General features: G+C 40.3%; 1 protein-coding gene across 61 annotated transcripts in view, besides 1 other annotated feature; it reads right to left on the reverse strand.

The window, feature by feature from the left end:
* Positions 1-16047: 16047 nt before the first annotated feature.
* EPB41L3 (erythrocyte membrane protein band 4.1 like 3) overlaps positions 16048-27449 on the reverse strand; it is a 238278-nt gene continuing 226876 nt past the window's right edge. For 11 of the 61 annotated variants that reach the window (NM_001384702.1, NM_001384700.1, NM_001384699.1 and 8 more), the window contains 7 exons: positions 21683-21805; positions 20720-21088; positions 19863-19994; positions 19271-19369; positions 18729-18809; positions 18339-18455; positions 16048-17140 (listed from right to left, as the gene is read on the reverse strand). In NM_001384702.1, the coding sequence (NP_001371631.1) occupies positions 18345-18455; positions 18729-18809; positions 19271-19369; positions 19863-19994; positions 20720-21088; positions 21683-21805 (915 nt within the window). In that variant the 3' untranslated portion in view covers positions 16048-17140; positions 18339-18344. Of the gene's footprint in view, positions 17141-18338; positions 18456-18728; positions 18810-19270; positions 19370-19862; positions 19995-20719; positions 21089-21682; positions 21806-24630; positions 24706-27449 lie in introns of those variants that run through there. The other 50 variants (NM_001384703.1, XM_047437372.1, NM_001384694.1 and 47 more) reach the window with 11 other exon arrangements.
* Positions 19095-20294: an enhancer, noted in NCBI's record as "CDK7 strongly-dependent group 2 enhancer chr18:5395432-5396631 (GRCh37/hg19 assembly coordinates)". NCBI's record gives its function as "activates an origin of replication core promoter dependent on BRD2, BRD4, P300/CBP, MED14 and CDK7 cofactors, with strong dependence on CDK7, by STARR-seq in HCT116 cells {active_cell/tissue: HCT116}" and the evidence as "EXISTENCE:reporter gene assay evidence [ECO:0000049][PMID:35650434]".

The following is a 27449-nucleotide window of genomic DNA, read 5'->3' on the forward strand; positions in this document are numbered from 1 at the left end:
GAAAGGTAGATAGATTCGGCTATAAGTGGCTTTGAATGCCACAATGAAAAGTTTGGACTTCACGGGGGTAGAACGAGTTGTGGCAAATGCTGCTCATAAAATAATAGACCACACTGAAGGCATTTCAAAGGCCCAATAATATCAACATATTTTCAGGGGCCATTATTTGTATAGATGTGATTTTCTACTGGAGATCCTTTAGGATTCAAGCCCAGAGTCATTTCCTGCCCCCAATCCAGACTGCACTGCCTCCCACGCTAAAATCCACTTGATGGAGACAGGCCAAGATGTGGATGGATTTGAGGCTTCTCTAGAGCTCGGTAGAAAGGGTGGCTCTTCATAGTTCAGGTCTTGGGCTACGGGGCTGAAGCAGCCCATCGTCTAAAGTCAAGCCCTGGTGATTAGAATTTTGTGATTTGCTGATTAATAGCTTCTTGCTGTTTGTGCTCTTCAAGGGATTATCAGAGTTGAGCCCCACATCTGGAGCAGCATTCATCCAGCAGTCGAGGCTAATTGAAAAAGTCACCACAAATCATAAGCAGGGGGAATTTGAAAGTCAGCTTTATGAAACAGCAGACTTGGGTTGGAATGTAGGCAGCACCTTCTCATTTAGTTGGGAGGCAGCTAGCTCAGTGTCCTTCTGGTCCCCAAATGCCTTGTATCATTTGGCTGCTCAACATTCGTGGACAACTCCTCTGAAATCAACCTAGGTAGCACGTCCCCAGAAAAATTCAAGCCTCTTTAAAAAACTGTTGAAAGCCGAGCAAAATGATCTCTGGAATAGAGCGATGTCTTGCAACATTGCTGCAAATACACTGAGAAGTGAGATGTTATACAAATCTGGCAGCATTTAAATTTAGAATGCATGTGATATTTGAGTGGGCTAAACCTGGGTTAGATGAGAAGGAACCTGAAGAGGCTCTAAAATCCAGGGCTAGTATCTTCTCTTCTTTGAGTTAGAAAAAGAAAATGTCACCACTCTTTGGAATACCTTATATATGCAAAATGATATATCCTTTAAATAGTATGCTAAGTTTGCATTCAGGATATAGTTTGAAAATATGCACAAACTTTCTCAGTGTAAAAATGAATCAAAATGTTAAATACGCAATTATCCAACTGTGTATGCAAAATGAAGTTGATGGAGGGGCAACTGAGTTAATTTTAGTAGACACACACAAAAAGCTACTTGAGTGAATTGTTTTATTAGCTTCTCATTCCTAGAACCAGCCAAATAACCCTATCTTCAGCCTGAATCATATTTGCTGTTACTCTCCTCCTTTCACCTAACCCTAGATGGGGTGGTTGGGTTTATACCCCTTAGTAACAGTGCAGAAAATGTTTCCACTTTAAATTAATTTGCTACATAAATTGGGTGCTTTTCTGGTTGTGTGCTAATTCCTAACATATTTTGCTGACATGATAGGGAAGCCATGCATTCTGCCACAATAGCAGGACTGTAAAGGATGTTTGTGGCATGCAAACAAAAGCCTCCATCGTGTCCATGACTGGAAACTGTTTTTTCTTTTGGCAATAGACTCAGGAAAAGCAGAGAAAGGTGGGCCTCATTAATACTATTCTTTTGATCATAGCTCAGTATAACCTTGAACTGGGCTCAAGTGATCATCTTCCCTTAGCCTCCCGAATAGCTAGGACTAAAGGCAGCACCATCATGCCCAGCTAATTTTTTTTTCACCGGTAGTAACAGGGTCTCACTACCAGTTTCAATTGATCTTCCTGCCTTGGTCTCCCAATGTGCTGGAATTACAGATGTGAGCCACCACACCAGGCCTAATTATTATTGTTATTATTTATTATTTTGAAATGGAGTGTCACTCTGTCACCCAGGCAGGAGTGCAGTGGTACAGTCTTGGCTCACTGCAACCTCCAACTCCCAGGTTCAAACGATTCTCCTGCCTCAGCCTCCCGAGTAGCTGGGACTACAGGCCTGCAGTACCTCGCCTGGATAATTTTTGTATTTTTAGTAGAGACGGGGTTTTGCCATGTTGGCCAGGCTGGTCTCAAACTCCTGACCTCAGGTGATCCGCCCACCTCGGCCTCCCAAAGTGCTGGGATTACAGGTGTCAGCCACTGTGCCCGGCCACTGGCCTTATTTTTAAAAAATAATGTAGTTTGTACTTCAGCATATTATTTCAGAAGAGGGGAGGGATGTTATATCTTTATTATCTTGCCTCAATTCTTCAAAGTTACAGATAGGCTTGAGTTCTGTAATATTTCATTTTCATAAATATGTTGCAGATTTAATTCAACTGTGCTGGGACCTAGTATTGAAGGGCAGGAGTCAGAAGGTTTATGAGTGAATTCAGAGACTAAGGAATGACCTTTGGGAAGTTGTGATATTTAGAAGTGACAGCTCACAGATTAAGGGCAGATTTGAAACAACTGAGTGGCAAAGGCTGGGCTACTGTTAGAGTGAAGACAGTTGGAGGACAAGCAGCTGCATGGGCATGTTTTATTGAGTACACTCATCCATGGAACCACTGCCCCCACCCCCACCCCCCCACCGCCAAAACATAACTTCCACAGACAGATTAAGCTATTCTTTAGCCCTGTTTGGGTCATATTCAGCCAATCAGGGAGCTCACCACCTCCCTTTTCCCTGCCCATAAGACCTGCAGGATACGTTGATTTGTAGAGAGTTTGAAATGCAGAACATATCTTCCAAAAAACCAAAATTACACAAAGGTTCTTGAGTCACCAGAGAAGTCCAGAAAACCTCACTTAACCCAAAGGTAAGTGCAGTGCCACTAAGCATTAACAGTGACCTAAGACCTTACCACCATGTAGAATATTTATATGAAAAAAATTCCGTGGAAAAATGCCAGGAGCACACAGTGCCTTACCGCAAGAGAGAGGAGAGACCCTTTTGATAGACTAGCTGGACAGGGAGCGTGGAAATTTCTTGAGACCAGAAGAGTAGGACATGAGGTTGGGAGACAGGGATTCTTATCCTCCAAGGGTGTCAATTGGCCCGTGGGCTCAGTGAAAAAGAGCCCTACAATAAAGGAATAGTGGCTTCTTGGGAATGGGTGGAGGTGGAGGCAGCACAGGTCCATTTGCTATCCTTGGGCCTTGGGCAAAGATGTAATTCACAGTCTGAATGTCATAGTAGAAATGAATAATAGCTTACAACTTGTCAGGTGCTACTTGAATTGCTTTACATTTAATTCTCACAGCATAGGAGGCTGATATTTTTGCAGGTCAGAGCTAGACTGATATTTTTGTAGGTCAGAGCTGGTCATATACCATCATTTTCACATGGTTTAAATGACCATTTTACAAATTCTCCCACCTTGTGGATTTGAAAGAAGATATTAAATAACTTGCCTCACATCACAAAGCTAATAAGTGGCTATACAGGTTGAGTGTTCTTGCAGGAACAAATGGAACACTTTTGTGTTGGGGATGGCTGACAACATCGGAGGAAACACTTTACAAATAGGGTTAAGGGAAACCAGCAAGAATGGAGGAGCTCCCTGAAAAGCCATCCTAGAGTGGGGTGATGGCACTGGGGATGGGGCTGGAGCTGTAAGCCAAGGGGTGAAATGAGCAAAATATGAGAGGTTGGGAGGAGTTTTGGATGGGAGAGGTTAAAAGTCACCACTATTGGCTGGGTGTGGTGGCTCACACCTGTAATCTCAGCACTTTGGGAGGACGAGGCGGGCGGATCACTTGAGGTCAGGAGTTTGAGATCAGCCTGGCCAACGTGGTGAAACCCCATCTTTACAAAAAATACAAAAATTAGCCAGGTGTGGTGGCATGCGTCTGTAATCCCAGCTACTCGGGAGGCTGAGGCAGGAGAATCGCTTGAACCCGGGTGGCGGAGTTTGCAGTGAGCCGAGATCATGTCACTGCACTCCAGCCTGGGTGGCAGAGCAAGACTCTTAAAAAAAAAAAAAAAAAAAGAAAGAAAAAAAAGTCACCACTACTCATGCATGGCCTTGTAAGAGGCAATAGCATTTTTCTTTTTTCATGTCTAAAAGAACTGAAGTCAGGTATTTATTCCTTTTAACACATAGTGCTTGTCAAAAATTTCTGCGGGAGTCATTCTGGGCACAGCAGGCATTTCATAGCCTATTGAAACCGAATGACAGCTAGATATTAGTCATGAGTTCTTAAATAACATTCATTTATCACCAATCCTTAATTAATGGGTACCCAACTGACCAGCATGCTCAAGTAGATTTCTGTCTCCCCTTCATCTCCCACTCACTACTAGTTTATCTTTAGGAGGAAGGGGAATGACAAACAAGTTCATACCATGTTTTTTAAAAGTCACCTATATCCAGAGCTGCAAGTTCTTGGTAAGCTCCTGGATTTAGCCAGTCAAGCCTGATGTTGCTCTCGGCCCTCCTGCCTCATGCCTGCCTGGAACCAAGCCTTTGTGCAGCTCTGACCTGCAGTATGCATGTGTGCTCACCTGTGACTGTCGCCTGGTGCCTGGCTCACTCTAACCTCTGCAATTCCCTCCAGGGAACTCCAGGTGCAGACCTGACTGTGCTTCTTGGTGCCTCCTGCTCCAGTTGCCCCTAGATCCCAATGTGCCCACCTTTCTCCACTGTCTACTACCCCTGGCATTGATAGGTAGAAAACTCTTCCTTTCCCAGAAATGACTAGAAGCAGCCTGAGAAATCATTCCTACACAGGGAAGCGATGCTTGCCTTCACTCCTCCTGCCCTGTCTTAGGACACCTTCGAGGCTAAGCAAAGTCTCATTATTTTAAGATCTGAGTGACAACATCTCAATCACTGCCAGTGACATCCCAGGCTGGCCAGCTCCCCAAGATGCGCCTGATAATCTGGGGACACAAGGGAGGCGATGTCCTGCTCCAATCAGTCAACCCTATTTCTTTTCGCAGGAAACTTTCCTTTGCCTTAAATCCAAGTTCTTAAAAATTCAAAGTACTTAATGTTTGCACAGGAACTACATTTTGTTTATTTATTTTTGAGACAGATTCTTGCTCCGTCACCCAGGTTGGAGTGCGGCAACGCAATCACAGCTCACTGCAGCCTCAACTTCCTGGGCTGAAGGGATTCTCCCACCTCAGTTCCCCAAGTAGCTGGGACTACAGTTATGCCCTATCATGCCTGGTTAATTTTTATATTTTTTTGTAGAGATAAAGTTTCACCATGTTGCCCAGGCTGGTTTCAAACTAGTGACCTCAAGTGATCCACTTGCCTCGGCCTTCCAAAGTGGTAGGATTACAAGTGTGAGCCACTGCACCCAGCCTGAACTGCATTTTATATTCCACTTGTATGAGAAGGTCATATGATGAACAGGCTACTATAAGAAATTTATTCCAAAAAGCAACTTTGAGGCTCTGTCCTGTGATCGGTGCTCAGTACTCATCCAAATCCAATTCCTTCCCTTCTGTATCCACAACATTGTATGGTGAGAAGAGAACTCACATGAAGGCTGCCATACATGGAAAGATCCTGGGTGTTCTGAATCATCAAAGAAGAAATTATTTATAGTGTTATTGCACTTAGAATATGACATGGTATTGTCAGTCTTTAAACATTTGTAACTCATGTAGGAAATATATGGTTTAAACTAATCAAAATACTCTATCCCAACCACTTCTGCTAATGGAGAATTTGAATACAAAAAAATCCATTTAATTATAAGTTCTATCTTTTCACATAGTTTCACTTATTATTCCATTGTACTTCAAGAAACAGCTCTTCTATTTTAAAACTCTCCTTACATGAAAACATTGCCACTAATATGATATAAATCTAGAATTACACAGTGGGGCAGACTACTAGTTAAGAAATCCAGTCCTCCCAATCTTCTTGCAGGGTATCCTAAGCTACTCCCCAAGGGTGATTTGCATTCTATGATTTGTTTTTCTGTTACCATCACTAGAGATAAGATTCCCCCCTACCCCAATCACCTGCCCCAATTCACCGAAATCCTTCCTCTGCCTCCAGGCCAATCTTCTCATTAAAGTGTTGACTTCAGACCCAAGGCTCTGCTCCTTCTGGCAGCAGGAGTTGCAACCACAAGTTGGTACCCAGCCATCTGCACTCATGTTCTTACTCTTGGGACACTTCCCTTACAGCCCTGCTTGTCTTCATTCAATGCTCACGTAGGTTAAGGTTCCCAGTTATCAGAGTAGGGGACAGAACCGGCAGTAGATGGCTGTTTGGAAGGCAAAGGGCACCTGACCTATGCAGGAGATGCTTCTATTTTCTGAGAGTCTTGATCCCCACCCCGCCACCTCCTTTGGTGTCTGGTGACCACTATATATCTTTCAAGCATCACTTCCAATGTCACTTCTTCCATCCCACCTAGGAGAGGCTCTTTCTCCTCCAGGCTCCTAATTTCCACTCACCACTATTATACCTGCTAGCTCATTATATTGCATGTTGATTTTTTGTTCTCCCACGTTCTTCTTTATGAACATCTTTATAAGTGGCCATGATTCATTCTTTTGCACATTAGTTTATTTTAAGGCTTTATGAAGAGCCCACATTTAAGGCCTATTTAGGGTGATTACAACAAATGAACGCTGAAGCCCTTTTTTTGGGCATCATTACACTATTTCTGATTATTATTGGTGCCTCCTTGGAAAATTCCGACTTTTTGTTATTTCAGTTACAAACACATACAAAATGTGTTAAAGTAATTATAAACCCTTATATAGAAAATCATTATTTCTAACCTACAAATATATGCAATCCCTTATATATATACACCTTTCAATATGCAATGCAATAATCATAGGATCTTGCATATTTAGGTTTTGGATTTATAAACAGTGCACATTTACTACCTGTTTAATATGGCCAGGCATTGTGCCAGCCATCTCAGATTCACCATTTCACTGACAATATTAAACTCTCACCATAGAAAAGCATGAACCACCTACGTATAAGTAATCATACATTTCTTTTTTGTCCCTGTATAAAGTGAATATTGACCCTGCTACAGGGAAGGATCCTAGATACAGTCATATCACTTGAATTACATCCCAAGAAAAGGATTTTGCAGCTTCTGAACGGAACTTCCTCAAGCTTAGGGCTACTTTTTCTTAAACAGGGGCAATTGCTATTCTTGAGATAAACCATTTTGAGTTCTCATATATAGATAAATGATGCACAGTGTTGAGGAGAGAGAAGGAAAAATACTGTTATTACATCAAACTACCATTCCACATTTTACGAAGAATGTCCTACTTGCTCATATACTTTCTCATATGGCTGAAGGGTTTCATCACAACTACAACCACCTGTGTAGCTGGCTGTGCTTCCCTTTATAACTGCGGGTAAACTGAGGCTCAGAGTGTCTAGATAATTGGCCTGAGGTATCAGAGCTAGTAAGTGGCAAAGCACAGGATTGCTGCCTTCAGAGTCTATGGTTTTTGTTTGCTTTTTTAAGGCCATGGTTGATCAAACAGAAACAGGGCCAGTGATAGCTTTATGTAGAGGGAGGTAAAAGTTCAGCAAACATAGAAAATTTTCAATTATACTACAGTGACACAAAATTACTTACATGGTATACGAAATAACACCCTTAAAAAGCAAATGCAGACTAAACTGCTAACGTGCATCCAAGGAGAAGCATCTACATCTGTAAAGATCTAGCATCAAGTGTTACTAACTTCATTGTCTGTAATAGAAACTAATCTATCACCATTCTAATTAGAAGGTGACTAAGGAAGTAAGCATTTAACAAAAGCATTTGTAACATTTGCAGATTGTAATAATAACTGAAGTTCTGGAAAAAGTCAATTTTCCAATTTTCTTCTCATTTACGTATCTCTCACTCACCATTAGTCTCAGTTCTTAGATAAAATTATTGACATTATTTCTTAAACTCTTTTTTTAAAAAAATATAATAATGGTGATAGACATTTGAAGAAACTTTGCCTAGAACAAGAGTTTACAAAAATAGAACAGCTCAAAGAAGAAAAAAATCACTATACACTCTCTCCTCAGAGAAAAATCACTGCTACCATTTTGGTATACATCTTCCCAGGTATTTTCTGTGCAGAGATAAGCTTTGTCCCTAATTAGCACCATAATGTATAAGCTCATTTATTCACTTTTTCACTTAACATATTAAGATGATTTCCTCTATCAGGCTGGTATTCTACAATTTTTTTTTTTTTTTTTTTTTTGAGACAGAGTCTCACTCTGTCACCCAGACTGTAGTGCAGTGGCGTGATCTCGGCTCACTGCAACCTCTGCCTCCCAGGTTCAAGTGATTCCCCTGCCTCAGCCTCCCAATTAACTGGGATTACAGGCGCCCGCCACTATGCCCGGCTAATTTTTATATTTTTAGTAGAGACGGGGTTTTGCCATGTTGGCCAGGCTGGTCTTGAACTGCTGGCCTCAAGTGATCTGCCCACCTTGGCCTCCCGAAGTGCTGAGATTACAGGCATGAGCCACCACGCCTGGCTTACTGTACAATTTTTGGTTGCACTGTATTCTATTTTATGTAATGCCATGATTTATTTACAGATTTCCATTTTGCTATTTAGACCACTTAAAACTTTTTGGTTTTTATGAGCAACATTGAGCTATTCATCCTTGTACATTAACTGCTGTCTACCTCTGTGTCTTTAGGAAAAATTCCAGGAGTTGGATTTGCTGGGCTGAGAACTTTGCACAATTTAACTCTATATTGGTATCAATCCTACTCCAAATCACCAACTTAGACTCACCAGCAGTGTGCTCACGTGGCTTCTGCTTGGCATCCTCAGCAAAGCTTAGAATTAGAATCAGATTGGCCAATTTGATTGTTGAAAATTACACTGCATGAACATTTGTATTTCTTTGTCATTGTTTGTGTTCAAGGATAATTTAGATTTCAGTATCATTCAAGGAAAATGAGTAAGACTGGAATTCAGCTGGAAAATATTCTGGCTCCTCCTTATGGTATGGGGTGCTCTAGAAATCCATGTTATTATTTTGGCAGATAAACTTTTCCTTAAACTTGTAATATGGAAACAATATTTCTAAACTTGCAGTACAGGCCAGTCTCTAACAGATTACATTTATCTCAAAGAAACTTGAGAGGCTATTCTGTGTGTGTGTGTGTCTGTATTCAGAAACCCATTTCCATTCCACTTTAGGATTCTAAGTTAGAACCTTTCCACGGGGCAAAGGCAATGTTAAAGGACTGCTTTTGTGAGCTGCCTGAACTCCATGGTCCTAAAGATTCTTTTGAGCTTGAACCTTCTCTGATTTTTGAGCATCACTAATAACCTTGTGGTGAGAGGCCTGCGGACAGAAAAGGCCTACTTCCTAGGCCATCATTTTCAGTTATAGCTTAGCTGGCATCACGGAACATGAAACTCGATGGAACATTTGGGGATCAGCTAGTACAACTTCTTCATTATGAATAAGTGAACTGAGACTCAGAGAAATGAAGTCAATTGGTGTGCTACACCCATTAACTCGTCATTTACATTAGGTATATCTCCTAATGCTATCCCTCCCCACTCCCCCGACCCCACAACAGGCCCTGGTGTGTGATGTTCTCCTCCTAGAACTTAAAGTATAATAAAATATATATAAATATATATATATATATATATATAAAAGAAGTCAATTATTTTTTTTAAGATCTCAAATCTAATCATCGATGCGTTCACGCTTTAACCAGGACTTCTTAGTCCAAGTTTCTTTAGTCCTGGGACATATTTCCTCTCATAAAAGTAAAAGAAGGCCGAGTATAGTGGCTCACACCTATAAACCCAGCACTTAGGGAGGCTGAGGCAGGAGGATCGCTTGAGCCAGGGGGTTGAGACCAGCCTGGGCAACATGGCGAAATCCTGTCTCTGTGAAAAATGCAAAAACTAGCCAAGTGGGGTGGCATGTTCCTGCAGTTCCAGCTACTCAGGAGGCTGAGATGGGAGGGTCACGTGAGCCCAGGAAATTGAGGCTGTAGTGAGCCTAATCGCGCTACCGCACTCCAGCCTGCACTCCAGTGAGACCCTGTCTCAACAATAAAAGACGAGGGCTTAAAAATATGTATTTTTGAAGTTAAACACAGTACAGAAAAAATGTTTGCATAGAGGTGAAAGAACAGTAACTAACCTAAGGAACATTCCTGCCTAGCACCCTCAGAAAGCCCAGTGGGAACCTCCCTTATCACAACCCTCCTTCCCTGATTTAGAAGTAACTACCATTCTGACTTTTGCATTAGTCATTCCTTTGCCTTTTAGTTTTACCACCTACATAGCTTTCCCTAAACAAACATTTTTTGGGCAGCCAGCATGAACTTAGCAGTGTAAGGAAAGGGTATGCTCTATTGCCACTCGGAAACCAACCCACGATTTCAAAGCTGGGAACTTTGATAATGGTGATGAACATTTCACTCTCTGGAACTCCAGTTATTTGTATGCTTCTTCTAGAGTGCTTTGCTTTTATCTTTTCTTGCATTTCTTTTCCATTTTTTTTTTCTGCTGCATTTTTAGATTTCCCCAAATTCCCAAACATTCTGCTGAATTTTTCATTTCTGCCAATATGTTTCAATTTGTAAAAGCTCTTTCTTCTCTGAATGTTCCTCTGTAGCTCTCTGGTCTTTTTTCATGGATGTGGTGTCCTCTCTGATCTGAGGCTATTCGTAAGAGTTTTTCCTTTTTTTAAAAAAAATCCATCTTGCATAGTCTTTTTTTCTCTTGGTCGTACCTTCCACAAAAGAGGCTTTTCTCTGATGCTCATAAGAACATCAAGCTGGATGGGACCATGGAGCACATGGTGGGGCTGGCCAGCATTGATCTTGATAGTAAGAACTTTTGGAAAGCTCTTTGTTGAGATGACAAATGTATTTTTTATTATGGTAAAATATTACACGAAGTCTGTCACTTTAACTATTTTTAAGTGTATACTTCAGTGGCATTAAGTACCTTCACAATGTTGTATAACCATCACTACTATTTCCTAAATTTTTCCATTGTCCAAGACTCTTTGTGCCCATTAAACAATAACTCCCCATTCTTCCCTCCCAGAAGCCCCTGGCAACCATGATCTTTCTCTTTGAATCTGACTACTCTAGGTACCTCATATAAGAGGAACCATATAGTATTTGCCCTTTTGCGTCTGGCTTATTTCACTTGGTTAAGTTTTCAAGGGCAATCCTTGTTGTAGCACCTGTAAGAACTTCATTCTGGGCCAGAAGTGTTGGCTCACACCTGTAATCCCAGCACTTGGGAAGCTCCCAGCACTTGGGAGGCTCCCAGCACTTTGGGAGGTCGAGGCAGGTGGATCAGCTGAGGTCAGGAGTTCGAGACCTGCCTGGCCAACATTATAAAACCCTGTGTCTACTAAAAATACAAAAATTAGCTGGTGTGGTGGTGCGCACCTGTAATCCCAGCTACTTGAGAGGCTGTGGCAGGAAAATCACTTGAACCCAGGAGGTGGAGGTTGCAGTGAGCCGAGATCGTGCCACTGCACTCCAGCCTGGACAACAGTGAGACTCCATCTCAAAACCAACAAAACAAAAAAAACTTAATTCTCTGTTATGGCTGAATAAGATTCCATTGCGTGTATATATCTCAGTTTGTTTAGCCATTCATCTGTTGGGCTGTTTTCACCATTTACTGTAAATAATGCTGCTATGACCATTGGTATATCTCATGTTAATACAAGTATAAAGTTCATCTTGTATAATGTGGCAGAAAGAAAGGTGGGATACAGGATATGTAGTTTTAATGTTGTTGTTGTTGTTGTTTTGAGACGGAGTCTTGCTTTGTCGCCCAGGCTGGAGTGCAGTGGTGCGATCTCGGCTCACTGCAAGCTCCGCCTCCCAGGTTCACGCCATTCTCCTGCCTCAGCCTCCCGAGTAGCTGGGACTACAGGTGCCCGCCACCATGCCCGGCTAATTTTTTTGTATTTTTAGTAGAGACGGGGTTTCACTGTGTTAGCCAGGATAGTCTCGGTCTCCTGACCTCGTGACCTGCCTGCCTCGGCCTCCCAAAGTGCTGGGATTACAGGCGTGAGCCACCGCACCTGGCCGATACGTAGTTTTAACTCAAGTTTAGGAGTTCAGAATTGAGCCTTAGGGAATGAGTGAGGGATATCCCCAAAGGATTTTTTAGTTGTGTCATGATGGCACCTTTAAGAATGACAAATGAGCAGCCTAAAGAACTTGGGGTGTGGGGAGCAGGGGGCATTGGGGTGGGGTGGTAGTAGTAGATGAATGGAACCTAGAGACCAGTTAGCAGCTGATCAACAGTCCAGGTGAGAGATATGAGGGCTTAAAGTAGGATGGTAAAGGAAGGTTACATGTAATGGATCTTTCACACTGCAAAGGAAATAAAGGAGTTGAAACTAACCCCAGGGTTTTAAGCCTGTATTACTTACTCTCTTACCTCTGCTATGCCAAGACTGAATAATTAATGAACTTGAGAAAGAAAGATATTATGAAGTGGTTAAGACTTCCATTATCTACAAATGGTGTATCTAGTGAAATTTACTATTCGACTCTTTGAAATAGGGCAACTCCAGCTTCCAAGACCACTTTCAAATATACTTAAAGTTTAGAGCTCAACAATAACAGACCTTGACCGGATGTCAACTGAACTGAGGCTGACATCAGTACATGTGAAATAATGTGTAACCCCTTCTAATCAGAGAGCTGAACCCAACCCGTCATATCTAATGAATGGCAGATCTCTGGGAGAGACCATCATTTGCTGAGGGGGTGATTCCCAGTGACTGACTCAATGACAATGGCATAATCATGAGAGCTGTTGAGGGACCTGAAATAGGAACTGTTTCCATGGGGAGCCACTCCCCCACACTTGCTGGGCTTCAGAGAAAACTCGGAAAAAAACTGATGTTTCAAATTTATCTTAGCAAAGTAACCTTTATCAATGTGTTCATTCATTCATACAAATATTGAGCACCACTTATGGAGGCACTATGCTTGGATGTGGGCCATCTGTGAGACCCATGGCACGCAGAAGAGATTCATTCAAAGAATTGGGCAGATAAATAAAAATGACAATCATGAAATTTTCTACTAAAAATGTTGCTTTGAGAGTGTATAATAGGGAAAGCTGATCTGTAAAATCAGGAAGGGAACATTTGAGCTCAAACCTATAACAAAATTTGGGGCCCAGTAAAACAGGGCTGAGAATAGTTCCAGCACTTCACCAGTGTGGTGGAGGCGGACAGGGATCACAGAGTAAGCAGACACACTGTTGCATCTGTGGCTGGAGAAGTAGGTGGGGAGCAGCCAGTCCATGCAAGGCTTCGGGCCAGGTTAGAAGAATTGAAGCCTTTCTTGGCAAAGAATTTATGGCTAAGTCCTCAAAAGCAATTGCCACAAAAACAAATATTGGCAAGTTGGACCTAATTAAAGACCTTCTGCACAGCAAAAGAAACTACCAACAGAGTAAACAGGCAATCTACAGAATGGGAGAAAATATTCACAGACTATGCATCTGACAAAGGACTAATGTCCAGAATCTATAAAGAACTTAAATAAACCCACAAGCAAAAAATAACCCCATTAAGAAGTGGGCAAAGGACATGAACAGACAATTCTCAAAAGAAGACATACAAGTGGCTAATAAACGTATGAAAAAATTCTCAACATCACTAGTCATCAGAGAAATGCAAATCAAAACCATAATGAGATACCACCTCACACCATTCAGAATGGCTATTAAAAAGTAAAAAAAAAAAAAAAAAAAAAAAAAAAAAAAAAAAAAAAAAGGTCAGGCGCAGTGGCTCACTCTTGTAATCTCAGCACTTTGGGAGGCCAAGGCAGCCGGGTCACCTGAGGTCAGGAGTTCGAGACCAGCCTGGCCAATGTGGTGGAACCCCGTCTCTACTAAAAATACAAAAATTAGCCCAGCATGAGTGGTACGCACCTGTAATCCCAGCTACTCAGAAACCTGAGGCAGGAGACTTACTTGAACCCGGGAGGCAGACGTTGCAGTGAGCCGAGATGGTGCCACTGCACTCCAGCTTGGGTGACAGTGTAAGACTCCGTCTCAAAACAAACAAACAAAAACAAAACAAAACAAAAACCAGAATCGTGGTGGGCTGTGGAGAAAAGGGAACACTTATACACTGTTGGTGGGAAGGTAAATTAGTTCAGTCACTGTAGAAAGCAGTTTGCAGATTTCTCAAAGAACTAAAAATAGAACTACCATTCAACCCAACAATCCCATTCCTGGGTATATGCCCAAAGGAATATAAATCATTCTACCATAAAGACCCATGCATGCATACGTTCATCACAGCACTATTCACAATTGTAAAGACATGGTATCAACCCAGGTGTGTCTACCCATGGTGGATTGGATAGAAAATGTGCTGCATACACACCATGGAATACTACACAGCCATAAAAAAGAACAAAATCACATCTTGTGCAGCAACATGGATGCAGCTGGAGGCCATTATTGTTAAGCGAGCTAATACAGATTCAGAAAACCAAATGCTGCATGTTCTCATGTATAAGTGGGAACTAAACATTAGGCACACGTGGACACAAAGATGGGAACAATAGACACTGCAGACTACGAGATGGGGGAGGCAGGCAAGGGTTGAAAAACTGTCTATTGGGTACTATGCTCGTTACCTAGGTGCTGGGTTAAATCATACCCCAAACCTCAGCATCATGCAATATACCCATGCAACAAACTTGCCCATGTGCCCTCTGAATCTAAAAGTTGAAGAAAAAAAAATTAAGGTCTTTATACTACAAGCGATAGAAAGCCAAAAACACATTTTAAGCACAAGGATGAGAAGATTACATTTGTATTTCTTGAAAGATTGCAAGCTACAGTGTAAGGGACTGAAGTGATGTGAGAACATGAGTCAGTGAGCTACTGGAATAATCTAGGTACACTGCCTTGGCTAGATTAAAGAGACTGTGAAGAAATGTTATTGGCAGGCTGGGAAAATGATGGGCAAGAAAGACACTGGTGCCCAAGTCTCCCAGGTTTCTGACTCATGTAATAGGATGAACAGAACACCCATATGAATGTTGTTTTTATTCATAGCTACTTCTTTGTAAGGTTTATTCTTAGAATTGACCTCTTGTTATCAAGTTAGATGTCTTTTAGTGTCCCTGAAATTTTGTGGCATTAAACCACATGACGGTGTTCTGTACCAGCAACAGTGGAGTGATGTCGAGATAGGGCACGACAAAGCCCCTCGGAGCCAGTCTTTCTGCTGTCCCATCCCCATTTCCTGAGCAGAGCATATGCGTGCATGCATGCGTGTGTTAATAGCCACACTCATGGGGGAGGATCAGGTCCTTCTGTCACCCTCCTTCAGAGCTTACACAGCTCTGATAAGAAACTATTTGTCAAAACAAATGTCATTTCTGAGAACACAATTTTACATGCACCGATGGCCTGTCACAATTTTTTTTTTTTTAAATGGAACAGTCCAATTTTACTTCATGAGTAAATGCCCATTAAAATACAGGGCCACCTCTATGGCAACCCAAGGCAGAAACTTCCATACCGGTTAATTTGAAGCAGTAAGAAAGACTAAAAAAAAAAAAAAAAAAAAAAAAAAAAGCACTTAATGGAAGGAACGTGTAACACTCATTTGTAAGTTAGAAGCAACTTCAAATTCACACTCCAGACTCCATGTTGATTTTTTAAAACAACTAGGGTCGACATTGACTTAACAGAGCAATGGATGTGCTGGGAAGAGATGGATATAACGAAGGAAATGGATGACGGGGACAGTGATTGTTAAAACAGGTCATGAGATTGCAGGCTGAGCAACCCTGTTTCATAGCACAGCCTTGTCTCTTATTAAAAAAAAAACCTAAAACTTTGAGGATGAGATTCAATGATGTATTTTTTAAAGCCTTCTTAGGCAACCAAATATTTAAATATATCTGCTTTGTTCCCATCTTCAATCCCTCAAAGGGTACAGACACTGCATACTGTATACTCTGTGGGGTTTTTTTTTTTCAATCTTGTAAAGACAGGATATCTCTACCGTGCAGCTGAATAAGGCCTTTGATGTCATGCAAATATTACTTCTGGACTAAACACATACAATACTGAAATTATTAAACATACAAACTTAGAGCTTTCAGTGCATTTGCCATTTTTATTTCGCTATGCAGAAACATACATTCACCATGGGCTGTGATGCAGGTGATCGTGTAATGGAGAATCTCTCTTTTTGAAGGCTATTTATAACTAACACTAAATAGTTTTAATTACAGTGGAAATTCTGTACAGTTTAAGGCTTGGCTCTGAACTAGAATGTAAATATGGACCAGATTTGAAAATAAAACACTTTCTTTTCAAGTAAAAGAAGAAAAATCAATTAAAAAATACACGGCACGGAAAAAGTAACTAAGAAAACAAAGCCACAGGAAGCCCAGCAGTTTCTCCTGAAGTGAAATTTCATAATATTGTAAACTAACAAAAATACAGGTTTTCTTCCCAAAATAATGACAATTTAAGCTCTCTGGATTGAACACAGACCAAAGCAAACAACAAGGAAGAAATCGCATTAATATGCTAAAATCAGTACTACCTTATAACAAATTAAATGAGATACACAAAGCAAGATTGGAAGCATTACATATTTCCAGAGGGTCAGAGAGTCATTACTGTTTATGGGTGAGAGTAATAAAACCAGATGAAACAAGTACAAGTTGTTTACTGAATAAACTTGGTTATTGGCACATCTAATCTGAGGAAAATCTGACACACCGGACGGACCTAGACAGCTTCTAGCATTTGAGGGTAATCTTCATTTATTGTAAATATAAGGTTACCTAAGAAATTGCAATTTTGTTTAGACTTTAATAATAATAAACTATGAAAGGCATGAATTGTTTATGTGTTACATGAGACCACGGTTTATATTGTTGGTTATGAACGTGCAGGTATAGCTGAAAACTGAGACATTTTGTGAAAATTAAAAATGCTGCTCTTTTGTAATTTTATCGTTGCTTCATGCATTATCGGTTTAGTGATGCTGAATCAGATTGCTTTATTATGGGAAGATCTCTCTGCCAGTGTCTTTATTAATGGTCAAGGTCAATTCTTCTGGACTGAAATTTTCCACGGACAGATACAAGTCAGTTGGGTTAGAAGAGGGAACTCCATATAGGCTCTGGTTTTCCTAACGGTTTGCATGACTGCATTCATGTGCAAGCTAAGTTATTCCTGCAAAAAAGACATTTGATTAGTTACTCATTTGAAAACAACTGAAAGATTTTCTCAGATCAAGGACACAAAAAAAGTATCCTGGAAGTTAGAATGCTCGTTTGGACAAGATGCCATGACATTCCAGCGTTAAGTCACTGCCAATTACATGCTTTCTCTTAAGTAATTACAACAACGCCCAAGTGGCTGAAGCTCATGGAAGAAATCTGTTTTATTTTTTTTGCTATCGTCCAAAATATATTATTCATTTGAGTAAAATGAGTATTTTTTATATTTCTCTTTTAAGAGATGCCACTCATCAATTTGTTTCTTAAACCGATGTTAGAAAACTTACTAATATATGAAATCTCTTAAACATTTTATCACATCACCAAGTTGTGCAAGTCGCTCGACTGCTGCATTCAGCATTCAAAGCCCTCTCAGAAACGCTCATGGCCCCATGAGATCTTGCATGGCAGGTGACTATGCATGACAAGTCTGTGCTCACATAGATGATATAGTCTGCTCATGATGCTGGCCAAACAGTCACTGGAAAGGTATGTGCTTTCTACAGGACCACAAGACTGCATTTTTTTTGCCTCCTTCTGAGACAGTGCTACGCTAGGGAGAAAAATCATCCCAAAGAATACAGGAAATATAAGACATCCAAAAAGAAAGTGAGTGCTCAGCTTTCAAATTAAAAAAACAAAACTAAAGACAAAAGCATAAACAGGTTACAATCAAACACAGTTGAAGAGAAAGCTTACGACGGGATAATGTTGCCATCAGAAGGAGAAAGGGGTATATATTATTTCCCTAGTATTTGGAACACACAAATTGAGCCTCTCAGAGCAAAACTGCCTTTGTTCCAATTAGGCCACATGGCAAGTAAAATCAAATTTGCCATTACAAATTTGGATAATCAAAGAGTGCAGGCCATGGAATAAAAGGGAACACCAGGAAGACCACACAAGCATAGAAGCATAGACTCTGCTCTTCCTTTATCCTCTAACTGGCAGTGCATGCAAAAACTCCACAAGAATGGAAGCTCCAAATGTGAGACAAACCCATAAACCAATTCTCCATCCTCTTGGTAACCAGCCCAACAAATGCCAGTGAGAGAACAGAGGAAAGGAGGGATCAGGTGAAGGATGAGAGGGAAGTGCCCCATGCCTCATGCCAGCCTAGGCAAGCCTAGAGAATCGGCATCACCTCTTACCTCTGGTCAATCCTCTCCATCTTCTGGTGTGATCTCTGTCTCTTTATGGACCACTACTTTGGTCACTGACATGTCAGGGTGCTGCTCTTTGGCCTCTTTAATTGCCTGAGCCAGCGCCTATCCCCGGGAAATCACAGAAGGGCAGAAACAAAAAGGAGGTGGAACATGCATGATCAGTGGTGAGGTGGAGACTTATGAGCTAGATCTATATCCACAATTTACAAATGAGGTACAATGATTACAAAAGGAATCATAAATCATATATTGGAAAGTTAATTCGGAATTTTCTTCGGAATACATGCTGGACTAGAGGAATAGCATTGAAACTGTAGGACCAACAGGTTTTTCTTTGTTTCTCTGCCAGGGTATTTACCGTCTCACACACACTACCTGGTCATGGTCAATGTCTGCATCCCCCGTGATGACTATTCGCTTCTCAATTCTTGTCTCTGAAATGCCCCCTTTCACAGTCTGCAAGACACGTAGAGAAGCTTTATGAATTTACTCACTGGGAGAAACCATCATGGTTCAGTAGGGGGAAATGGCCGAAGATGCTGACATCATTCACTCTTCGAGAATTGAAATTAGAGTTCTATGGCACTTATTTCACATTTTTAATTCCAGAGGTGAGGACGGAATGGAGGCCCTTGGGTCTGGATGGCCCATGTTTCTGGAACACTACCACATGCCAAGCACTGGAGTAAGCATTAAGCTTAGGATATCAGAATGTATATTCCTAAAGGGGAACTCGCACGTGAGGACAAGTGCATCGTAAATCTAGGGGCTGTAAAAGCTCCCCTTGCAGCTATCCCGGCGTCCTGAGCTTCAAGCCACCTTGTGCTTGTGCAGCCCAACCTGTGAGGAGTTCTGAACAAGCACCTTCCTCCAGCTCGCTCTCAAGGAATCCTCTTCTCGGTTCTCACTCCACTTACTTTGGTGATGTGCGTAGTGGTGGTGGTACTGGTGGTTTCAGATGTGATCGTCTGTGCACTCATCAGCACGCCTGGCTCCAGATCTGTGCCTGGATCGACCTAAAGCAGCAGAGGCATAGACCCCTCATCCAGGTGCTCACATCTGCTCTTCAGAAGTTGGCTACGTTATTTAAGGCATTACGACAATTTCACTATCTCCTATTATGCAATCATTATGCTCTTCAGAGTCTGAGCGCTGCTCCCAAGAATAAGTACTAAGTGCAACCACAGGTAACTGTCATTAAAAAAACTAAGGTTTCAGAAATGTGAGTGGTGGATGGGTGAGTGAATATTTTTCTTTCTCTGTGGCTAGGGAAACAGGTTTCTGAGCCTTTTTCTACACTTCAAGACACATAAAGACTTGGTTAAGTCATCTGCTGCTCCCTGATCACTAATAAAATGACCATTATTGCATCACTTTTAATAGAAATGGTCTGGCTGCTGGATCCTCTAAGTCTCATGAATTAAATATCGTGCAGTTCTATGTAAACACACTAGGCCATAGAGGGGTGAAATAAGCAGCCAGGGCTCTGGTCTTCACAGAATATCTCACCTGTGATGATTCATATGTGATGGTTTTGGTTTCGGTGTGAACTACTGGCACTTCCTTCGTGGAAATTTCTAGCTTTACTCCTCCCGGTGAAACACTGCCAAAACTGATGGTTTCCGTCTTCACCGTTGAGGACTGTGCCAAAGGGGAGTAAGCAGAGTGGCTGTTATAGTTTGCATGAACACATTGTTTTCTTCCTTTTCCTCTCTTGGTGGTTATAAGCACAGGTTAGTATGCTATAAATGTTTATGTAGAGAGTAAGCTGGGGAATGAGGCATACAACATGCACATGTCAGTCTCCTGGACTCTCATAGCACTTTTATATGAAATGCTCCAAGTAAAGCAAAACATTTTGAAGGCAATAAAAAAAAGTTTTCTATTTAATAACTTCTTAGAAAGAAGAAACTAATAATGAGACATTAACTCCCCAAATACTTCAGGAATCTCAATAAAAGAGGATAAAGAATAAAGTTCTGGCATTTAGGACCCGGGTAAACATGGTTTTGGTGCTTCTGGAAAAGTGCACTGATAAGAAATAAATGTATCACATTTTCTAATATCTTGGCCAACTTTGCATTTCCCAATTTTACTGCCAATTATAATAATTTCAGTGAGAGTAGAAACCATTTCCTGGTGCCATATTATTAATAATTAAGAGATATGTTTGCATGTGACACCAAAGCTGGAAATCAGTGTGGAGACTCCTACTAGGTATGAAAGAAGGAAATGAGAGGAGAAATACACTATACATGGGAGAGGCAGAAAATTAAACTTAGCTCCACCTTTATGCTGATCTAAATTTCCAGGCATCCTATATCAGTTTTATTTTAGTGATAAAAGTAACATTTACTACTAGTTACCTCAAAATGAGGTTTTTGTTCCAAAGTTTCTGAAATGTGGATGGCTGCACTCTGCTCCTCTTGTCGCTCACGGGAAGCAGCGGCTGTCTCTTCCTGTTCCAGGACAGCTTTAGCGACCTCCTCCCCTCCTTCCTCTTTAGCCCCCTCCGTCAAGGCAGAGCCCTCTTTCCCTTTAATGCCTGTGAATGCGGGCTGTGCTGCAGCATCCCCGCTGTCTCCCGCCGAGTAAGAAGCATCCCCACTCGCGTGCACCACACGCCGCTCCTCCACCAACACGGTCTCCTGCACCACCTTCTCAGTGCTAAGCGGCAGGTGGTGCACGGTGGGTTCCGTCTCTATTCCACTGGACTCCGTCTTGGTTTCCATTTTCTGCATGGGAAGAGATTGTGGCATCAGTGTGACCATCCATAAACCAAAGGTCAGAAAATAACTAAAGCTGCCACTCGCCAGGATGTCTAAAGCCAGCAGCAAGTGCTTATAACCAGAAACACTGACGAAAAATATAAATTAGCTTTCATTTCTCCCACTGAAATCTCTGATGCCTGCCCCTGCCCCTGGTGCATGCACTTGAACCTGCGCTGCTGCTTCAGGACATCCGCAAAACAAACGGAAGGCAGGATAAAGTGCAATTAACAAAACAAAAACCAAAGCATTGCAGCGCATTCACGTTGGTTTTGGCTGCTTTCTTAGACTCAACTGGTGAGACATAATGCTTTTAGATATTTAATTCTATTAAAATTTCTCAATATGATCGCCTTTCGAATAGTGAAGTACATTCTTGAGATGCAACTAAAGGCATGTGACAGATATGCCAAGCAGACACAAAGGACAATAAGTGAAGACACCTTTGAGATGTTGAAGGCAAAGCCAGCTGGATGCAACCACACACTCACGCCCAAAAAAAGGGTAAGGAAAGGCACATGGGCACATTCAGAAACACCAAGGACGAAAACAAATGGCCACCTGAACCCAGCTTTGAGAAGTAGAAGTAACCCCTCCTATGAATTCTGTTGGTTTTCGCGCAGACTCTAATAAACTGAAGATTTCAGAGCCATCCATGAGCTTTTCCCCAGAAGACTGCTTAGTCTGAGTGAACAAAGAGAGGCAGAGTCAAGCACAAAAGAGAGACACAAACTCAGGCACATAAACATTCACAGCTTGTTAGACAAAATCGTAGGCAGAGGAGACAGGGAGGAGGAAGAACGAAGGAATCTCAGAGTTTGGAAACGAAAAGAATGGGAAATAAAATAGAAAACCAGGTGCTCTTGTTTGGTAAAGCAGAGACGGTTATTAGGATCAGGGTGGCGCCGATTTAAGCAGATATATATATTTTTTCCCCTTCATTGCAAGCCACAGCAGCACTATCACATCTTGGGAACAGGGAGCTGGAAATAAAATGGAAAGTGTTTTAATGCTGACTTTGCACTGCGGTATTGATTTAACCATGAAAAAAAATTAAGAAGCTGGGTTGGCTGCTCTCAACATAAAGCCAAGCAGCAAGAGAAACGGAAAGGTTTGGGGTGGAAGGGGACTGCCTCAAAAACTGTCATGCTGGAATTGCAAACTGTGGCCCCAATGAGTGACACTGGTTACCACTACTCGGGAGGCGGATGACTCAGTAACGTAATGGGCAGTAGCAACGGTAAAGGCTGGTTCCTGGGAATATCTCCATTCGGACAGGCTCTTCCTTCGGGGACCAAAGAGGCCCACTTTTAAGACCTCACTCTCGGGCACTTGCTCTGTTTTGCTGAAGCGTCTGCCTTCCAGGCCAGGGAGGACGGCCACATCCTTCTCCAGCTGTGGAGCCTTCTTGAGGTCATCTTCTTCAGGACTCTGCCGGCGAGACTCGGCCTCCTTGATGGGGGCCAGGGATTCGGACAATTTCCGCTGTGTCGTCTGGACCTCTGGTCCTCTCTTGGATTTCTCATCAGCGAGGGTTTCCAGGACCTCATATTCTGCCAGGCCGGGAATGATCTTCATGGACTCTGGTATTTCTTTCTCCATTTTCTGAAGTGCTTCTGTAGTGGAGGGCTGCTCCACTTTCTCACCCTCTTTAGCTTTCCCAGTCATAGTAACAATTCTCCCGGAGACAGTGTCATAGGATTTTCCTAGAGTGTATATTTTCTGTTTGCTGTCTTCTTTCAGTTGCATTTCTCGAGCCAATTCTTCGAAGCTTTGCATTTTAATAGTGCCAGATTTTAACATGTCAGCTGGGAGATCACCAGTTTTACTGCTCACGGTCACCACCTTGTAAGTCACAATCTTTTTCAAATCACCATCAACTACCTCAGTTGGTATTCTGTCTACAATAACCCAATCCTCTGTGCCCTATATTTGAAATATAAAAGCTAAATTAGAAATTCTGATGGTATCTCATTTCTAAAATAAGAATCCTTTAAGAAAATCAGGGCAACTGCTACATGCAGGTCTGTGATGGGACCATACAGTGCTCATGTTATTATCTAATAATTATGGCTGCAATCTCTTCTCCTCTGAAATGATAAACTATAAACTTCAGCTCAGAATACATTCGGTAGGTAGAGTTGCAACTTCTTTAAACTGGAACATACTTTGCAGTAAATTTTTTGAAGAACAGATTTGCTCTTATGATAAATTTTGGATCATTTTATATTTCAAGATTAAATAACATTATTGATGTTGCTCTATAAGTTACTTAGCTTTACATGTGTGGGGATAAAAGTTTTCCTCGTTAAATATAATCTATACTTCATATACTGTTATCACAGAGAGCTTCCCAACATTCTACAAATTTATGTAAATATTTTCCATATTTGTAAATTGTATTTCTTTATACAGGGAAATGAATCCATAATAGCACTTATTATTCAATAAATATTGAGTGTGACTGTGTTCAAGGCATTGTAATGAAATATTTCCCACAAATAGGACACTATTAGAGCCTCTTACAGTGATCTGTACAGTGTTCGAGTCTTACATTTTTTTTTTAAAAGATGGGGTCTCCCTATGTTGCCCAGGTCGGCCTCGAACCCCTGGGCTCAAGTGATCCTCCCATCTCAGCCTCCCCAGGAGCTGGGACTACAGGCACATGCCATTGTGCCCGCTCCAATCTTATTTACAACTGAAGTTCACTGTCTCAGGAGTTTCTCTCTCACTTTCTTTAGTGTTAGTTCCAATAAGGCAAAAGAAAGGAAAGCTAAGAAACTTTTGTATTCAGGGAGGCATAATACAATATGACCAGGTAGGTTAATAGCTTCACAGATTACAGAGGGAAGAGATATCAAACCAGGAGCAGGTGAGTGCCCTGGTTTACATTTTAAACTAGAATGTTTTCTAGAAACTTTTCTGTTTTTTACAGCCTGAAAACTTAAATCTAGAAATACGTGTGCCTTTAAAAATACCACTACAGATTGATCTACATGTTGTTGCTAGATTAAATGAAATGAATTGAAAGAATAACCTCTAGGGTTGATGGGACAGTTTTCTGGAAAATTATTTGACGAGAAGTAACCACAGAGTCAGCAGAGTCTCCTTCCTGCATTTTCTTTATCACACTTGGCTAGTGGGGAAACCAATAAGAATTCAGAACTTTCAAAATCAGTCAACTTCATCTAAATTAGCACGACTCTACAGGTAAAAACAGGCAGTAAAACAACATTTCAGCAAGATTATTATCAGAAAGTAAGTCAATGACAACATACAGAGAAAAATCAGCTTGGATTAGAAGCCATGAAGAAATGATGCATAACTGATAACTAAAATATTAAGAAAATTCAATTTTCCCTTCCCCAGAATCTAAATCAAAATTATGTACCTACCTTGGTTTTAAACAAGATAAATGTTAAAGGGAAAATAAAAACTAAGAGCATTTTAATGACACTGAAGTCTGAAGACCAATTTCTTCTGGAAAATCCTTTATGTTTGGTTTTTACCTGAGACTCAAGGAATGGAGCGCTTCCTTGCTGCAAAAATATAACTTTTTCAGAAATCTCTGTTTCTTCTTTGGTCTGTTTGAATAAAGGGGGTTGGGTTGGAGAAGAGGAAGTAGACAGTTTCCAAAAAGGCAAGTTAGGAAGGGAGTTCTTTCATTGTATTATCTCTATCTATCTATCATCTCATATATTCTCATAATATTCATTCATTTTCTTCCTGAAGGAGTAAATTATTGTTTATGCATTTGAAAAATGATCTGAAACTACCTCAAAATTTAGTTTTTTCCAAAGAGCTCAGATTTTCTGAAACTTTGGGGTTAACTTTGGTGTTTATATAACTCAAATGTTCTTCATTTCTACAAACACAGAGCATACAAGAACAATATAAAGGTATTCGTTCTTGGCATTTAAACCATGTTTATGTTGGTATCAAAAAGTGGGTATTTAAAATAAAACATTAAGAAATTTTTAAAAATTTAAAATTTCTATTTCTGACAAGTATCTTATTGTATTCCCCATTTAGGTGCTGCCTGTTACAGAGTAGTGAAATGCATACAATGTCACTGCATTAGCCACTAATTTAAATAAACCCAGTTATACTTAGATGGATTGATTTATTGCCCACAAATAAAGAAAAAATACTCAATGGCTTTATTTGAACTTTTATAACATGGTTAATAATTTTTTAAAGTCAATTTCAAAATATCTTGCTGGAAAATTAAGTATATCAATTCATACTTTAACATAAAAAATTAAGAAATATTAAGTATTTCATGTTAGGAATTAGGTTTTTGCTTTTTAACTTCTTTTTATTTTTTTCTCTAGTATTAAATAGGCACAATTCAGGTGGCAATACATTAGCTACCAAGCCTAAGTTGAACCAAGCGTTCAACTTCACAGAGCAGGGACAGAAAGGATATTCTGGAAGATTAACTGAAAAATAACGATGGAAAGTTCAAGGTTTCTAGAAGAATGGAACTTTTAAAATACATCTTATCATTACAAACAATGTAATTTTATGAGAGCTATTTAAAATTTCTTTTTGTCTAAAAATCTACCAGTACTACATTTAATCATTTGTTTGCAAGAGATTGTAGGGGAACATCTGGAATATTCTGCAGGACCTACCCTGACAGATTTTGATAGTATCATTCTCAAATGACTCTTTCTAATGAGAAACAAGCCATTTTCAGAGGAGGAAAAAAAAAAACCCAACAACAACAAAAATCTCTATCCCACTGCATTTTGGAGGACGGTATTGGAAAAGATAAAATGTACCATGTGGAATCATTAAATGTGGATTTTGTTTCTTTTCCTTTTTTTTTTGCTTTTAATCATAGCCTCTTTTGCAAACAGAAATGAGAAACAGGAAGGAAAGGTCAAAATTATAGGTACTTTTCAGAATAACAGTGCTAGGTCTCTAATTATAATCACTGAGCTAAATATTATTCCTAAGATAAAAGCTTCACAAAACCCCCAGCGAAACAGTGGTTTTCAGCATATCCTGGTGTCTGAAACCAACTAATTTAAAAAATGCCTCTGTCTTATAATTGAAAATATTAACAGTGTCTACATTCCAAACTGTGTATGTCCAATAACATAAACAGGTAACATAGGGAGATTTTAAAATGTAATTCTGTATATGGTCAACCTCCCAATACAGTTAGCCTAGTTAATAGAGAAGTGAAGAGGTACTGATAAAGAAAAGGTGATCTAAAAATTCACTTTTATCAGGGGTTAGGATATAGTCAGATATATAGCCCAACCATTTCATTTAGTTACTTAAACATTATAAGTTATTAATCTTAATATCATAATTGGAAAACAAGGCCCTATACTGGCGCACAAAATTCATAACAGTGTCATTTCCTGTTGGGTGATTAAAGGTTTCTACAAATAAAATTTAGGGAATGGGTAAATTTGCAAATACAGAATTTGCAAATCATGGGAACTGACTATAGTAATCATCTAGCTCAAGGAATTACTGTACAGTGAACACGCCTGTAAAACTATCACTCATATGAAAGAGAGGACAATATCGGCGCAGAATACATACTAGCAGATACTGCTTTTTTACTGTGATTTGGAAACTTTTGGTATTCAAGTAACCACTAAGGAATATAACTCTAACATGGACAAGGCTTAGATGCATCATGAAAGTCTGTCATGGGAAAGGTCTGTGGACAGAGGATGTACCTGGCACGCTGTACATACCACATGTCTACCCTTCCTATGTTTGGTGGGCCCTGTGTGTGGGTTTATTTGCCTATTTTCTAAAGCAAATGAGATTTAGATATTATTTGCTGCTTTGGGGCATCCTTGCTACTTGTCTGCTGTTAACTCAAATATCTGAAACTTGAAACAATCGGCAATCAAATTTTCCATTTTATATAGGAAACAAACATAAAATTCTCAGAACATAACATCATTATTAGCTTGCTGTATATAATTCTAACTATAATTTTCTTTGAATTGTTCATAAATTGGTAGCATTTTATAGAAATAATTATTATAACAATTTAACTACTATAGATACAACAGTATAAAGAAAAAAGATGGTAACATTAAAACTCAAGAAATCTTTAGTTTTTTTCTTCAAAGTACCATTTTGTCACTGAGACCAAAAAAAAAAAAAAAACAACAACAACTAAGCTTTGGGAAGTCATAAGTTTGGGGTCACCAAATCTAAGTTTCTTTCTGATTCTGACACAAAATAACCACTACTTTATTAGAGATGTCAATTTTAAAAATTGAGTTAAATATTTCCATTTGGAAGTAACTGGATTTCTTTCTAAACTGGTTGACTACTGTTTAATTGA

This window comes from Homo sapiens, chromosome 18 (assembly GCF_000001405.40).
Source record: "Homo sapiens chromosome 18, GRCh38.p14 Primary Assembly".
Taxonomy (NCBI): Eukaryota; Metazoa; Chordata; class Mammalia; order Primates; family Hominidae; genus Homo; species Homo sapiens.